At 41.0% G+C, this 17220-nt stretch overlaps 2 long non-coding RNA genes across 2 annotated transcripts in view; both read right to left on the bottom strand.

The window, feature by feature from the left end:
• The window catches only part of LOC105370802 (uncharacterized), a 225875-nt gene that overhangs the window by 51513 nt on the left and 157142 nt on the right, over positions 1 to 17220 (bottom strand). The gene's annotated exons all lie outside the window — the stretch shown is intronic.
• Positions 7107 to 15540, bottom strand: LOC107984794 (uncharacterized). The gene is made up of 3 exons (XR_001751511.2): positions 15326 to 15540; positions 13221 to 13326; positions 7107 to 8621 (listed from the first exon to the last, which is right to left on the bottom strand). It is a non-coding gene; the product is annotated as an uncharacterized LOC107984794 (long non-coding RNA).

Raw genomic sequence — 17220 nt, 5'->3', positions numbered from 1 at the left:
ACTTGGGTTTAGTAGTTATTCAGAACTGGACTCAAGTTAAGCTCTACTACTTACTAGCTGGTGGTTGTCAGCAATTAATTAAAATTCTTATTATTTCAATAGGTTTTTGGGAAACAAGCAGTGTTTGGTTACATGAATAAGTTGTTTAGTGGTGATTTCTGAGATTTTGGTGCACCCATCACCCAAGCAGTGTACCCTGTACCCAATGTGTAGTCTTTTATCCCTCACCACCCCCAACCCTTTCCCCTGAGTCCTCAAAGTCCAATGTATCATTCTTATACCTTTGTGTCCTCATAGCTTACCTCCCACCTATGAGTGAGAACATATGATGTTTGGTTTTTCCATTCCTCAGTAACTTCACTTAGAATGTTAGTCTCCAATTCCATTGAGGTTGCTGCAAATGCCATTATTTAGTTCCTTTTCATGGCTGAGTAGTATTCCATGGTATATATGTACCATGTTGTCTTTATCCACTGATTGATGGGCATTTGGGCTGGTTCTGTCTCTTGCAATTGCAAATTGTGCTGCTATAAACATGTGTGTGCAATTATCTTTTTTGTATAATGACTTCTTTTCCTCTGGGTAGATACCTAGCAGTGGGATTGATGGATCAAATGGTGGATCTACTTGTTTAGTTCTTTATGGAATCTCCACACTCCTTTCCATAGTGGTTGTACTAGTTTACATTCCCACCAACAGTGTAAAAATGTTTCCTTTTCATTACATCCATGCCAACATCTATTATCTTTTAATTTTTTAATTATGGCCATTCTTGCAGGAGTAAGGTGGTATCACATTATGGTTTTGATTTGCATTTTCCTGATAATTAGCAATGTTGAGCATTTTTCCATATGCTTGTTGGACATTTATATGTCTTCTTTTGAGAATTGTCTATTCATGTCCTTAGCCTACTTTTGATGGGATTATTTGGGTTTTTTTCTTCCTGATTTGTTTGAGTTCTTTGTAGAATCTGGATAAGAGTCCTTTGTCAGATGTATAGATTGTGAAGATTTTCTCCCACTCTGTGGGTTGTCTGTTAACTCTTTTGATTATTTCTTTTGCTGTGCAGAAGCTTTTTAGTTTAATTAAGTCCCATCTATTTATCTTCGATTTTGTTGCTTTTGCTTTGGGGTTCTTGGTCATGAAGTCTTTGCCTAAGCCAGTGTCTAGAAGGGTTTTCCTGATGTTATCTTCTAGAATCTTTATGGTTTCAGGTCCTAGGTTTAAGTCTTTGATTCACCTTGAGTTGATTTTTGTATAAGGTGAGAGATGAGGATTCAGTTTCATCGTCCTACATGTGGCTTGCCAATTATCCCAGCACCACTTGTTGAATAGGGCATCCTTTCCCTACTTTATGTTATTGTTTGCTTTGTTGATGATCAGTTGGCTGTAAGTATTTGGCTTTATTTCCATGTATTCTATTTGGTTCCATTGATCTACATGCCTATTTTTATACCAGTAACATGGTGTTTTGGTGACTAGGGCTTTATAGCATAGTTTTAAGTTGGGTAATGTAATGCCTCCAGATTTGTTCTTTTTGCTTAGTCTTGCTTTGGCTATGTGGGCTCTTTTTTCATATGAATTTTAGGATTGCTTTTTCTAGTTCTGTGAAGAATGATGGTGGTATTTTGATGGGAATTGCAATGAATTTGTAGATGGCTTTTGGCAGTATGGTCATTTTCACAACATTCATTCTACCCATCCATGATCATGGGGTATGTTTCCATTTGTTTGTGTCATCTATTATTTCTCTCAGCAGGGTTTTGTACTTTCCCTTGTAGAAGTCTTTCATGTCCTCGGTTAGCTATATTCCTAAGGTTTGGTTTTCTGTTTTTTGGTTTTTTTTTTTTTGGCAGCTATTTTAAAAGGGGTTGAGTTCTTTATTTGATTCTCAGCTTGGTCTCTGTTGGTGTGTAACAGGACTACTGATCTATGAACATTAACTTTGTATCCTGAAACTTTGCTGAATTCATTTACCAGTTCTAGGACTTTTTTGGATGAGTCTTTAGGGTTTTTGAGGTATATGATCATGTCATCAGCAAACAGTGACAGTTTGACTTCCTCTTTACTGATTTGGATGCCCTTTATTTCCTTCTCTTGTCTGGTTGCTCTGGCTAGGACTTCCAGTACTGTATTGAAGTGGTGAAAATGGGCACCTTTGTTTTGTTCTAGTTCTCAGGCAGAAATGCTTTCAACTATTCCCTGTTCAGTATAATGTTGGCTGTGGGTTTGTCATAGATGGCTTTTATTACCTAAAGGTATGTCCCTTCTAGGCCAGTTTTGCTGAGGGTTTTAATCATAAAGGGATGCTGGGTTTTGTCAAATGCTTTTTCTGCCTCTATTGAGATGATCACATGATTTTTAACTCTATTTATGTGGTGTATCACATTTATTGACTTGTGGATGTTAAACCATCCCTGCATCCCTGGTATGAAACCCACCTGATCATGGTGGATTATCCTTTCAATATGCTGTTGGATTTAGTTTGCTAGTATTTTGTTGAGGATTTTTGCATCCATGTTCATCAGGGATACTGGTCTGTAGTTTTCTTTTTCATGTTATGTCCTTTCCTGGTTTTGGTATTAGGGTGATACAGGCTTCATAAAATTACTTAGAAAGGATTCCCTCTTCTCTATCTTTTGAAATAGTGTCGGTAGAATTGGTACCAATTCTTCTTTGAATGTCTGATAGTATTCAGCTGTAAATTCGTCTGGTCCTAGACTTTTTTTTTTTGGTAACTTTTTAATTACCATTTCAATCTTGCTGCTTGTTATTGGTCTGTTCAGAATTTCTATATCTTCCTGGTTTAATCTAAAAGGGTTGTATATTTCCAGGAATTTATCCATCTCCTCTAGGTTTTCTAGTTTAAGCCCATAGAAGTTTCCACAGTAGCCTTGAATAATCTTTTGTATTTCTGTGGTGTCGGTTGTAACATCTCCCATTTTGTTTCTAATTGAGCTTATTTGGATCTTCTCTCTTCTTTTCTTGGTTAACCACACTAATGGTCTATGACTTTTATGTATTTTTTCAAAGAAGCAAATTTTGTTTTGTTTCATTTATCTTTTGTATTTTTTTGTTTCTTTGATTGTTTCCATTTCATTTAGTTCTGCTCTGGTTTTCGTTATTTATTTTCTTATGCTGTGTTTGAGTTTGGTTTGTTCTTGTTTCTCTAGCTCCTTAAGGTGTTACTTTAGATTGTATATTTGTGCTCTTTCAGACTCTTTGATGTAGGCATTTAAGGTATAACCTTTCCTTTTAGCACCATTTGTGCTGTATCATGGAGGTTTTGATAGGTTGTGTCATTCAGCTCAAATAACTTTTTAATTTCCATCTTGATTTCATTGTTGACCCAATGATCATTCAGGAGGTCATTTAATTTCCATGTGTTTGCATGGTTTTGAGGGTTCTTTTGAAGATGATTTCCAATTTTATTCCATTGTAGTCTGACAGAGTACTTGATATAATTTTGATTTTCTTAAATTTACTGAGACTTGTTTTGTGGCCTATCATATGGTCTATCTTAGAGAGTGTTTCATGTACTGATGAATATAATGTATATTCTGCATTTGTTGGGGAGAATGTTCTGTAAATATCTGTTAAGTCCATTTGTTCTAGGGTATTGTTTAAGTCCATCGTTTCTTTTTTGACTTTCTGTCTTGATGACCTGTTAGTGCTGTCAGTGGAGTATTAAAGTCCCCCACTATTATTGTGGTATCATTTATCTCATTTCTTAGGTCTAATAGTACATTTGGGAGCTTCAGTGTTAGGTGCATATATATTTAGAATTGTGGATATTTTCCTATTGGACTAGTTAGTCCCTTTATCATTATATAATGTCCCTCTTTGACTTTTTTAACTGCTGTTGCTTTAAAGTTTGTTTTGTCTGATATAAGAATAGCTACTCCTGCTCACTTTTCATGTCTATTTGCATAGAATATCTTTTTCCACCCCTTTCCTTAAGTGTATGTGAGTCCTATGTGTTAGGTGAGTCTCTTGAAGACAGTAGAAACTTGGTCGGTGAATTCATATCCATTCTGTATCTTTTAAGTGGAGCATTTAGGCCATTTACATTTAACATTAGTATTGACATGTGATGTACTATTCTATTCATCATGCTATTTGTTGCGTTCATTTTCTTTTTCAGTGTGCTGCTGTTTTATAGGTCCTGTGAGATTTATGCTTTAAGGAGGTTCTATTTTGGTGTATTTCAAGGATTTGGTTCAAGATTTAGAGCTTCTTTTAGCAATTCCTGTACTGCTGGCTTGGTAGTGGCAAATTCTCTCAGCATTTGTCTGAAAAAGACTGTCTCTTTCATTCATTTATGAAGCTTAGTTTCACTGGATATAAAATTTTTGGCTGATAATTGTTTTGTTTAAGGAGGCTAAAAATAGGACCCCAATCCCTTCTAGCTTATAGGGTTTCAGCTGAGAAATTTGCTGTTAACCTGATATGTTTTCCTTTATAGGTTACCTGATGCTTTTGCCTTACAGATCTCAAGATTTTTTTCCTTCATCTTGAGTTTAGATAACCTGATGACTATGAGGCTAGGTGATAATCTTTTTGCAATGAATTTTCCAGGTGTTCTTTGAGCTTCTTGCATTTGGATGTTGTTATGGTTTGCTGTGTCCCCACCCAAATCTCATCTTGAATTGTAGTTCCCATAATCCCCACATGTCATGGGAGGGACCCAGTGGGAGGTAATTGAAGTATGGGGTGGTTTCCCCCATGCTATTTTTGTGATAGTAAGTTCTCATGAAATCTGGTGGTTTTACAACGGTCTTCCCCCTTTGTTCAGTTCTCATTCTTCTCCTTCCTGCCACCATGCAAAGAAGGATGTGTTTGCTTCCCTTTCTGTTATAAGTTTCCTGAGGCCTCCCCAGCCCTGCAGAACTGTGAGTCAATTAAACCTCTTTTCCTTATAAATTACTCAGTCTCAGACAGTTCTTTATAGCAGTGTGAGAATGGACTAATACAGTAAATTGATATCGGTAGAGTGAGGTGTTGCTATAAGGATACCTCAAAATGTACAAGTGACTTTGGAACTGAGTAACAGGCAGAGGATGGAACAGTTTGGAGTGCTCAGAATAAGATAGGAAAATATGGGAAAGTTTGGAACTTCCTAGAGACTTGGAGGGTTCAGAAGACAGATGTGGGAAAGTTTGGAACTTCCTAGAGACTTGTTGAATGGCTTTAACCAAAATGATTATAGTGATATGGACAATGAAGTCCAGGCTGAGGTCATCTCAGATGGAGATGAGGAACTTTTTGGGAACTGGAGTAAAGGTGACTTGCTATGCAAAGAGACTGGCAGCATTTTGCACCTGCCCTAGAGATCTGGGGAACTTTGAACTTGAGAGAGAATGATTTAGGGTATCTGGCAAGGAAATTTCTAAGTAGCAAAGCGTTCAAGAGGAAGCAGAGCATAAAAGTTTGGAAAATTTGCAGCCTGATGATGCAATAGAAAAGAAAAACACATTTTCTGGGAAGAAATTCAAGCTTGCTGCAGAAATTTGCATAAGTAATGAGGAAAATGTCTCCAGGGCATGTCAGAGACCTTCACAGCAGATGTTGAGTGCCTGTGGCTTTTTCAGCCACATGGCGCAAGCTGTCAGTGGACGTATGATACTAGGGTCTGGAGGAATGTGGCCCAGAGGCCTAGGAGGGAAAAATAATTTTGTGGGCCAGGCCCAGGACCCCCTGCTGTGTGCAGCCTCAGGACTTGGTGCCCTGGTTTTCAGCCACTCCAGCCATGGCTAAAAGGGGTCAAAGTACAGCTCAGGCCATTGCTTCAGAGGGTACAAGCCCCAAGCCTTGGCAGTTTCCATATGGTGTTGAGCCTGCAGTGCACAAAAGTCAAGAATTGAGGTATGGGAACATCCACCTAGATTTCAGAGGATGTATGCAAACACCTGGATGTCCAGGCAGAAGTTTGTCACAGGAGCAGAGTCCTAGTAGAGAGCCACTGCTAGGGCAGTGTGGAAGAGAAATATAGAGTTGGAGACCCCACACAGAGTCCCCACTGGGGCACTGCCTAGTGGAGCTGTGAGAAGAGGGCCACCATCCTCCAGACCCCAGAATGGTAGATCCACCAAAAGCTCGCACTATGCATCTGGAAAAGCCACAGGCACTCTAGGCCAGCCTGTGAAAGTAGCTGAGAAGGGCCGTATCCTGCAAAGCCACTGAGACAGAGCTGCCCAAGGCTGTGGGAGCCCACCTCTTGCATCAGCATGACCTAGATATGAGGCATGGATTCAAAGATCATTTTGGGTTTAATGACTGCTCTATTGAATTTTGGATTTGCATGGGGCCTGTAGCCCTTTAGTTTTGGCCAACTTCTCCCATTTGAAATGGGTGTATTTACCCAACGCCTGTGTCCCCATTGTATCTAGGAAGTAACTAACTTGCTTTTGATTTTACAGGCTCATAGGTGGAAGGGACTTGCCTTGTCTCAGATGAGACTTTGGACTTGGACTTTTGGGTTAATGCTGGAATGAGCTAAGATGTTGGGGGACTACTGGAAAGGCATGATTGTGTTTTAAAATGTGAGGACATGAGATTTTGGAGAGGCCAGGGGCAAAATGATATAGTTTGGCTATGTTCTCACCCATATCTCATTTTGAATTGTAGTTCCCATAATCCCCATGTCATGGGAGGGATCTGTTGGAAGGTAATTGAAGCATGGGGGCAGTTTCCCCCAAGCTATTCTCATGATAGTAAGTTCTTATGAGATCTGATGGTTTTATAAGGGTCTTCCCCCTTCACTTGGCTCTCATACTTCTCCTTCCTGCCACCATGTGAAGAAGGATATGCTTGCTTCCCCTTCCATCATGATTGTAAGTTCCCTGAGGCCTCTCCAGCCCTATGGAACTGTGAATCCATTAAACCTCTTTTCCTTATAAATTACCCAGTGTCGAGCAGTTCTTTATAGCAGCATGAGAATGGACTAATACAGATTTACAGATCTCTAGCAAGGCTGGGGAAGTTTTCCTCGATTATTCCCTCAAATATGTTTTCTAAATTTTAGATTTCTCTTCTCCCTCAGGAACACCAATTATTCTCAGGTTTGATTGTTTAACGTAATTCCAAAGTTCTTGGAGGCTTTGTTCTTTTTTATTATTATTATTCTTTCTTTTTTGTCTTTGTGGGATTGGGTTAATTCAAAAGCCTCATCTTCAAGCTATGAAGTTCTTTCTTCTACTTGTTTGATTCTATTGCTGAGAATTTCCAGTGAATTTTCCAATTCTGTAATTGTGTCCTTCATTTCCAGAAGTTGTGATTGTTTTATATTTATGCTATCTATTTTACTGACAAGTTCTCCATTCATATCCAGTATTATTTTTTTGATTTCTTTAAGTTGGACTTCACCTTTCTCTGATGGCTCCTTGATCAGCTTAATAGCCGACTTTCTGAATTCTTTCTCTGGCAATCCAGAGATTTTTGTCTGGGTTTGTATCCATTGCTGGTTAGCTAGTGTGATCTTTTGGGAGTGCTAAAGAACTTTGTTTTGCCATGTTATCAGAATTATTTTTCTTGTTCCTTCTCATTTGGGTAGACTCAAGGGCTGCTGTTTAGATTCTTTTGTCCCACAAGGTGTTCCCTTGATGTGGTTGCTCTCCCCCTTTCTTCTAGGGATGGGGCTATCTGAGAGCCAAACTGCAGTGATTGTTATTTATCTTCTGGATCTAGCCACCAAGTGGAGCTACTGGGCTCCAGGCTGGTACTGGGGAATGTCTACAAAGAGTCCTGTGATGTGATCTGTCTTCAGGTCCCTCAGCCGTGGATACCAGCACCTGCTCCAGTGGAGGTAGCAGGGGACTGAAGTGGACTCTATGAGGGTCTGTGGTTGTATTTTTGTTAAGTTATGCTGGTTTTGTGTTGGTTGGCCTCCAGCCAGGAAGTGGTGCTTTCAAGAGCACATCAGCTGTGGTTGTACAGGGAGATACAAGCTTGCCCTAGGGTCAGGCAGTAGGTGGGCCATATAGCTCCCAGGAGATTATGTCCCTTGTGTTTGGCTACCAGGGCAGGTAGAGAAAGACTAACAGGTGGGGCAGGGTTAGGTGTGTCTGAGCTCAGACTCTTCTTGGGCAGGGCTTGCTGTGGCTGCTGTGGGGGATGGGAGTGTGGTTTTCAGGCCAATGGAGTTCTGTTCCCTGGGGATTATGACTGCCTCTGCTGCAACACACAGGTCACCAGGGAAGTGGGAGAAAGCCAGCAGTCACAGGCCTCACCTACCTCCCACGTAGCCCACAGCCTGAAAGGCCAGTCTCACTCCCACCATGCCCACCCAGTAGCACCAAGTTTATTTCCAGGCAGCCTGTGAGCAGAGCTGAGAACATGCCCTAGGCTACAAGCCTCCCAGCTGAGAAAGCAAGCTGACTCACAGTTCCTCAGCTGTCCCACGGAGCCTGCAGCAGCAATCCACCTCCTTCAAAGGGTCTGTGGATTCTCTCGGCTTTCCTGGCATATTTCTGTGGTAGTTCTTGGAGCAAAAGTTCATTATGTGAGTCTCCATATGTTGTTCTGTCCATCCAAGTGGGAGCTGCAAGTTAGTCCTGCCTCCTATCTGCCATTTTCCCTCAGTCCACTTCCAACTAAAATTATGTAAACCAATGAATTCTCTTCTAGAAAAAATGAGAATTGAATAAAATTATTTAACCAAATAGCTCAGTCATAATAAGTATTCAGTAAATGCTAGCTGATTTTGACTATAAAATCTAGTTTCCTAAATTTACAAATGAGAAATATAAGGCCAGAGAGGTAAAGTGAACCAGCTGAGGGTATATTATCTGCATACTTATATAGATAGATCTTGAACTGCAAACAGTGAAACACAATAATTGAGTAAAGTCTTTCCTTTGAAAGATAAAACGCACTCCTTGTCCTATGTTATCGGCAAATAAATAGATGTCCCAAACAAGAAAAAGTAAACCACATCTGTGAGTGTTTTCTGTTTCCCAGACCCTGACCAGAGACAAAGTGGCAAACAAACATATGAATGAACCATAGACCTGTCTTAAAGCACTTCAAATTTACTTGGACAGACAAGGGATAATCTTAATTAACTAATAAAGCATTTTCCTAAGCAAATGCCAGATACGTGCAGCAGGTCAAAGTGTTGTCTAAGAATGAAGGAGTGAAACATTTAATCCCCCAGAACAGTCAGAGAAAGCTTCTTGACAACACTGTTTCTTTTTTGTTTTTTTTTGGCGGGGGGGGGGGGGGGGGGGGGGGGTTGTATTTTTTTTTTTTTTTAAAGACGGAGTTTCACTCTTGTTGCCCAGGCTGGAGTGCAATGGCGCAATCTCGGCTCACCGCAACCTCCGCCTCCCAGGTTCCAGTGATTTTCCTGCCGTGGAGTTTCTGAGTGGGCAGCCAAGGAAAGAAAGAAGGAAAAAATATGAGCAAAGGCCTAGAAGCAGGAATGCATTTAGTTACTGGAGAGGAAGTCATCAAAGTCTTCATTTTCCATCTAATTCTGGGATTTCACAGAAATGTCATCTTTGTATTGTAAAATCGACTTACATGACATATTTTGAGAAATAAAATTTTGTTTCATTGAAGGATTATATTTTAAGTCCTTTCCCATTACTTTTGGAACATTAAACACTCTCATAAGTGAATGTAAAATGTAAACTATAAGTAACCCAGGGATAAAAAGTGTACATGCAAATGTAGCAGTCTAGTGGTATCAGGAATATACTGTCCTTTATTGTCATTAAACATTCCCTTTTTAACAATTAATTTGCTTAATACGCCTCCTCCTTTTGAAATAGATCAATTATAAAAATACATTTTAATCCATCTTCTTAAATTCCAAATCAAAAGAAGTTGGCTCCACTGGGAAGATGGTATGGAGACAGTGGTGAAAAAATGTGTTATTGGGGAACAACACATGTGAAAAGAAAAGAGCAAAAGTGGAACTGGTCTAGCAGAGGGGTCAGACAATGATATCTGTCAAAGTATCTGCCAGCCTCGTGGGAGCTCTGGCATCATGCGTTGGGTAGAAATGGCAAGACCGTTGTGGCACAGTCTTGCTCTGTCACCCACAGGGGCCACATTGAGAAGAGCATGACCTCAGCTCAAAAGTTGAGGTGAACTGGAAATAGTCAACAGCTGGACACTTCAGAGAACCACATTTCCCCCAGCTGGGATGTGCGCCCTTTCTTGAAGAGAAATAGAACTGGCTCGTTTCTATATCTGCCACTTTTCAGCCCTTGTGTTGCATGGTTCCATTTCTCCAAACAAGTTTGAGAGGAAGTTCCTCCAGGGTTATTGTAGACCTCTTTACCCAAGGAGAAACTAAAAGGGATGTTAATGAGACAAACCACAGCCTTATTGCTGCAGTCAGACACAGAACCACAGCTGATAATTACTTCCTCCTCCACTGTGCATTTTAAACTCCCTTTACCCTCAACTACCAACATTGCTGGTCTTTGTGTCTTACCTGCTGGTGTGACCCAAACCCTCATTCCTATGAGTAGATGTGGCATGTGGGCCCCATGTCACAGTATCTTTCTCAGATGAGGTTAGCTGCACTTGTCTGTTTATAGACACAACTGGGCAAGGGAGAACCAAGAGGCACCCAAGTGGATTACCTGCCCGTATTGTTTAACAATAGCCCCATCTCCTGTTATTCAGGTTCAGTTACCCTGCCAAGATGGTGGCTATTCTCACCTGCTTCTCCCTGAATATGAGGGTCAAACAGGTCTCAGAAGTTAGCCATAGCTTACAGTTGAATGGGACCTTGTGTTTCTCCTGGCAAGTGTGCCTTTTTTGAAAACAAGAGTTCCTTCTCTAATGTTTCAGATCCTGGAGTTTCAGGGACAAGAAGCAAAAAGCCCCCTCATGTGTCACTTGGAATGGTGGTAAATGGGGCAATTTTTGCTCCCATCCCTTAGCTCCTGGTCCTATGCATTCTTTCTTTTGGTAACACAGCACCATATAGAAGCCTCTAATAATGTGTATGTACTGCATCCTGGAGAATGGCACCACATCCTCAGAGTATTGCTCCAACACTTCAGCAACTGTTCCAACACTCTACTAGGCCAGATGCTTCTGGATGATGCAATACATTAAATACCATAAGTTTACACTGAGGAAAGTGCGGCTGGTACAACTGTGCTGAGTCTGGGCTATTTGCTCATGAAGGCTTCTTGTGTCCCCTGGTCTTGCTTGTTCTAAATCCTAGATGTACCGCTTCCAGCTTACAACAGGATGCTGCTGGGTACACCTGATTTTATGAGTTGGTGATTCACCAGGACCTTATACATCATAGGAAATTCTGAACTCATGGTCATGTAGTGCCCCATGACCAAGTATTCTGTCTTTACAAGGAATTATTCAGGTGCCAGGAGTTATCTTTCAAATGGTATTATGGCCTTGCTGCATAAACTCAGGAATCTGCATTTTTATTCTCATACTAATAGGGTTTGCTGGATCAAATAGCCCAAGCAACAGAGCTGCTTGTGTTGCTACCTGGACATATTACAGATGCCTTTCTTGTTTTGGGCCCCATTTAAAGAAAGCAGCCTTTCAAGTCACCAAGTATATGGGCCCAAATACCATTTCTAGAATAGAAATACTGTACCTTCAAAACCCCATTGCTATCAATAAATTAAGTTGTGTGGTAGCCCCTACCATCATCAGACCTGGTCTGCAAAGGACAGCCAACACTGAAATGTTTTAATGATGCTGGTATGCCTTTAACCAGTGCCTTCCTGGTGGCTTTGGTAAATGGTATGTGTCTTCTTGCCCTCTCATGGAACATAAACCTCTGGTGGATTTTCTGGCCTCACGTAGTATCTCCATTCCAGCATGCCTGCTTCCCTGACACTTTCATTCTCTTACTGCAGTATTTACAATGACAATTCTGGTATTACCACTTCACTCAGTATAGATTTTCATTTTTCTCTTGCTTCTTGAAGCCTCACTAGTCAGTTTGCACTGTGCCCTGGAGTCTTTGCCAAGACATCAAATCCTTCATTCTAAGGGTGCCTCCAAGCCAGTAAACTCATCCTTACCCAGTCTTATGTTCAAGAACCCTCAAACTCTAGTACCTTGGGTGCTGCTGGTACATGTTGGTACATGCTGACTAGGTCATGTAACTTTTTTGGAGTATAATACCTTTCTTCCTTTATCAGATCCAGGACATCCCAAACTGGGTCATGCTGTGACTTAACACTAATATAGGCCTGGCAGCCAAGAGAATAGGTGAGGCCTTATCTTGATGGGAATGTGGCAGGGCTATTACCTTGCAGAAGATGGGCTCCATATACATCACCTAGCCTACAATGGCTTCTCACATAAAAGAGGAATGTATTATCTCTTTTTTTTTTTTTTTTTTTTTTTTTGAGCTGGAGTCTCACTCTGTCACCAGGCTGGAGTTCAGTGGCACCATCTTGGCTCACTCCACCTCCTGGGTTCAAGCAATTCTCCTGCCTCAGCCTCTCAAGTAGCTGGGATTACAGACACGTGCCACCACACCCAGCTAATTTTTATATTTTTAGTAGAGATGGGGTTTGACCATGTTGGCCAGGATGGTCTCGATCCTTGACCTGGCGATCCACCCACCTCAGCCTCCCAAAGTACTGGAATTACAGGTGTGAGCCACCACACCCAGCCTGTATTACCTCTTAATAGGGGAAAAGGCAACCTCTGCAAGCTCTAAGAGTCCAGAGGAGTCTGGGAAGCTAACATTTGGGAGGCAGCCAACAAGTTGTCCCTCTCCCACGCATTAGAATCTCAGTTTTCTTATCCAAAGCCCCACCCCTGGCATAATATCTCTGCCTCAGCTCTGTAACCAATGGTCTTTGAAGCTGAGAACTGTATTTAATCCTGAGTTTGGCCTTTTTCTTTTCTCCAAATGCCAAAGATAAAGGCCTATTTGTAAGCTACCAAATAAGACTTGTGACTTTGTTAGTTTTCAATTTTTAACTGCCTTCAGCTTTTCATTATTCCTCTACCAGGCATTAATACAACTTAGTAACAATCAGCCAATTTTCATTTTCCTTGTATTGATTATTTCTCCTGTACTTTTCAAATGCCTTAATCATTGCATTGGAACATTCTCTCAATTCACCAGAGAAAGTTTTTGCAATCAGGCCAACACCTCATGCCAGAGATTATCTGCGCCCTCCTCATACCACCTGGGATACCACCTGGGATGGTGATCTCATTGCCAGCCAGGCTGTGAGTGATCCAAGCCCAAAACTTCATCTTACCACCTGTTTTCTTTGAGCATTCCTGGAACCACCATCAGTTAGGTCCTCTGGGAATCAGATGCTGAGACAGAGTTAAGAATGCAGACAGTAGATTGAAGCGTAACATCTGTGAAAAGAGACAGGAGGAGGGGGGACTAGGTAAGGGGAGATAGCAAACCATAATCCATATTAGACCAAGTCTCAGCCAGCCCACTAAGAATCTCTGGAGCAACAACTGTCCATTACGGCAGTCCCAGCTCTGAGACTGAAGTAGACTTGAAGAAGAAAACCACAGAAGGTTGCCAGGAAACCAGACTCCTTGCAACTAAGGATCACGTCCTTTCTTGAAGGGGGATCTAAGCAATGCATCTCTATGTCTGCCATTGTGATATGTAAAATAATAAGACTTTACCCCATATGTGTGCCTGAATATATATTAATCTAATTAAGGCTAGACTGCCCCTAGTGAGTATTTGGACAAACTCTGCATGGCTTAATGAAGGCCTGAACCCTCACTCATCTCCAGAAGCCTCTCAGTTCCCCTCAGTTCTTTCCTAATGTGTGCCCAGATATCTTCTTGGTATCTCCATGTCAAAAGAGATTAGGCATAATCTTAGAGAGAAGCAAGTAAATACACCCCTACCTTTGAAACCATGTCTTATGTTTTTAACTAGCCTGCTCTGAAAAATAAGTCAAATGGCCTACAATTGAGTCAACCAAAGAAACTAAGTCATGGCTACAAGTTCTCCAATCAGACTCCAAATGTAGAACAGCTCCCACATTGGCATCTTGCAGGTTACACTGCATTGGTTATAGTAGAAACTGCTGAAGATAAAATCGCCTAAACTCTGACTGTATCATGTTTGCAGAATTTCTGAGAGTGGATAGAAAATTCCACAATGCTGATACAAGAGTAGTGAAGATATTCATACTACAAGTTCCTGCTTAAGAGCTATTGCTTGATGGAGTAGTTCCTTAGGAGCTAAAAACAACATTATTTTCTAAGAACTGCCCCATTTGTTGCCATTTTGGGAAGGCATTGGACAAACATTTTCCCCCCCGAAAAAAAGTGAATTTCTAGCCCATAAGACTCAAATATCTTCTCCCAAGGGGAATTGTTGCTGATTTAAGAATGTGTTCAACCTGGATAGGAGGAGTATCTAGGTGTAATTGAGTTCAATGCTACTGTTAGCAAATAATGATCTGGTCCAGAAGTGTCTGAAGGTGCACCCCAGAAAATGAAGAAAGGTGTGGTGATCCCTGGAGGAGATGGAGGTGAAATAACTAAAAAAAAGATAGGAAACAACACATTTAGGGATGTCGTGTGGCCCCACAAAGGAGCAGAAGTCAAGAAAAAGATGGGGAGAATCAGGAATTGGCTAAATGCAGTGCCTCTTAAGCTCAGAAGAACCACATGGGCCACTGACCATGAACATTCCCTGAGTGTCTTCACCTCAGAAGTTGAGATCACCAACTAAGCTGACAATTGAAGGGACCAGGAGGAATCACTTTTGTCCTAAGGTGGAGTAAAATGAGTAGCCACTTCCCAAATTCCTAAAGACCACAGAGAGTGAGCTCCCTAGGGCTCTGGGGACAGAAATAAGTCCAAATATCAAGGAAGGCAGTGACCCCAAGTTTGTGGCAGAAAATGCAGCTCAGGACTGGCCACATACCCCGTGCACAATGAAAGTGCAAAAATGAAAGGGTGAGGCCTCTTGTTCAAACCAGACTCCTTGCAACTGAGCAAGATGCAACAACAGGGCATTAAGCCAAGTGCAGGGTCTTCTGGGCATCCCTGAAGAAGTTGGTTATATTAGTTATTTATTGCCAGAGAAAGAGAATTAGGCTCTATCTTTGAAGAAAGGAACATCAAAGAATTTGTGGACATATTTTTAAACTTCCAGAGCTGCCCTCTGGTTGGAAATTATTTACATTCCCCCAACATGCAAAATGAACTCACCTCCCAAGAACCCTCAGAACTCTCATCCCTTTATGCCATCAACTCAAAATGCAGAACCTTGCATCCAAATCAAGTCTAAGAGTGTGTGACCCAAATCTGTTTAATTATCTATTACTACATAACAAATTGCCCTAAAATTGAGTGGCTTAAAGCAATAAACATTTACCAGCTCACAGTTTCTGTGGTCAGGAATCCAGCAGTAACTTAACTGGGTGGTCTAGCTCAGGAACTCTCATGAGGTTGCAGGCAAGATGTCAGTGAGGACCACAGTCTTCTGAAGGCTTGACGGCAGCTGGGCAATCTACTTCCAAGATGACTCATACACAGGACTATTGACAGGAGGCCTTAGTTCCTAGCCACACAGGTCTTTCCGTAGAGCTGCTTAAGTGGGGAAACAGGTTTTTCCCAAAGTGAATGATCCAAGAAAGAGAAAAAGAGAAAATCAAAATGTCTTTTATGTCCTTATCTCAGGCATCTCAGTCACTTCTGCCATATTCTACTTGTTAGAAGCAAGTCACTAAGTCCGCCCTCACTCAAAGGGAGGTAATTAAGTAAAGAAGGGCTATCAAAAAGTTTGAAGATTTATTTTTAAAACCACCACACTGACCAATTCACTACTTAGAGCATTATTTAATTCAAGAATACTTTCCTATAAGAATATTATTCTGAGTTCATGTCCTTTGCAGGAACATGGATGAAGCTGGAAGCCATCATTCTCAGCAAACTAACACAGGGACAGAAAACCAAACACCACATGTTCTCACAAATAAGTGGGAGTTGAACAATGAGAACACATGGACACAGAGAGGTGAACATCACACACCGGGCCTGTCAGGGGTCAGGGGGAAGGGGAGGGAGAGCATTAGGACAAACACCTCATGCATCCGGGGCTTAAAACCTAGATGATTGTTGATAGGTACAGCAAACCACCATGGCACATGTGTAGCTATGTAACAAACCTGCACGTTCAGCACATGTATCCCAGAACTTAAAGTAAAATAATAAAGTACATAGGTAAGGTTTTTTAAAATGATGAGATACAAAAGTGATACAATTTTGAGGCAATATTAACCTCCATATCTGGGTAATCGTGTCCAATAGAGATTACAAAAGTCACAAACAGGCAATGTAGTATAGTGGAAAGAACACTAATCTTAAAATCAAGAATCTTGAGTTATAACTTTGGCTTTGCCATTTTCTACTCATGTAAAAATGGACAAAAAATTTGCCATGTTTAATCTCCTTGTCAAAGAAAGAGAGAGAGAGAGATTGTTATCTGCACTAAATTTCTCACAGGATGTTCTAAGGAGCAAATAACATGTACCGAGAGCCTAAACTGCATTTCTACAGTGATCTTAGCGATCTAGCAATGTGTTTCTAGGCATGTAGAAGAAGCATATAATTTAGGAGTTAAAATCTCCCAAGCAATCAGTAAAACATACCCGTCAATTAACCCCTCAAGCCGTAATTGGACGGAGGAAGGCAAGATTTCCAATCAATCCCACAGCTTCACTACTGGAAAAGAACTTAATCCCCTTTGTCAGTTTTACTTGAAAAATCCTGGGTTGAAAACCAGAATCTTGAGTCTTGGGATTCTTGAGTCTTGGGACTCTTGAATCTTAAAGCTACCCCTGGACCCAGTAACTGTGACCAGGTAGGCACAATTTTGTGATTTAAAATGTAGCCTGTTTAGATCATTTGGAGCCCGTGATGTGTAAGGAATTGGTGGCCCCTACACACATTAGAACCCTGGAAATGGAGAGATAGGCATTTCCAAAAGAAGAGGCCTGGATATTTGAGAAGAAGAGGAAAAGAATTCTGGGCAAATAAAACAATAGTTGTCCTTTTCAGAAAAAAAAAATAATGAAAGCTCAGGCAAAGTAAAAAGCTGAGGTCATTGAAAGGAACTGAACATATAAGGCCACTCCATCCCATGCCCTACTTTCAAGGTAAGAAAAATTGCAAGAATATGTTCCACTGAAATTTGACCACAAATTAAGCAAAGCTACTGCCATCCTAATACGGGTAGTGTGGAGTGAAAAGTGTCTAGGGCAAGGAAGA

The sequence above is a fragment of the Homo sapiens genome, chromosome 15, assembly GCF_000001405.40.
Source record: "Homo sapiens chromosome 15, GRCh38.p14 Primary Assembly".
Classification (NCBI taxonomy): Eukaryota; Metazoa; Chordata; class Mammalia; order Primates; family Hominidae; genus Homo; species Homo sapiens.
The sequence above is the reverse complement of the archived record's forward strand: the minus strand, read 5'-3'. Positions and strand labels throughout refer to the sequence as shown.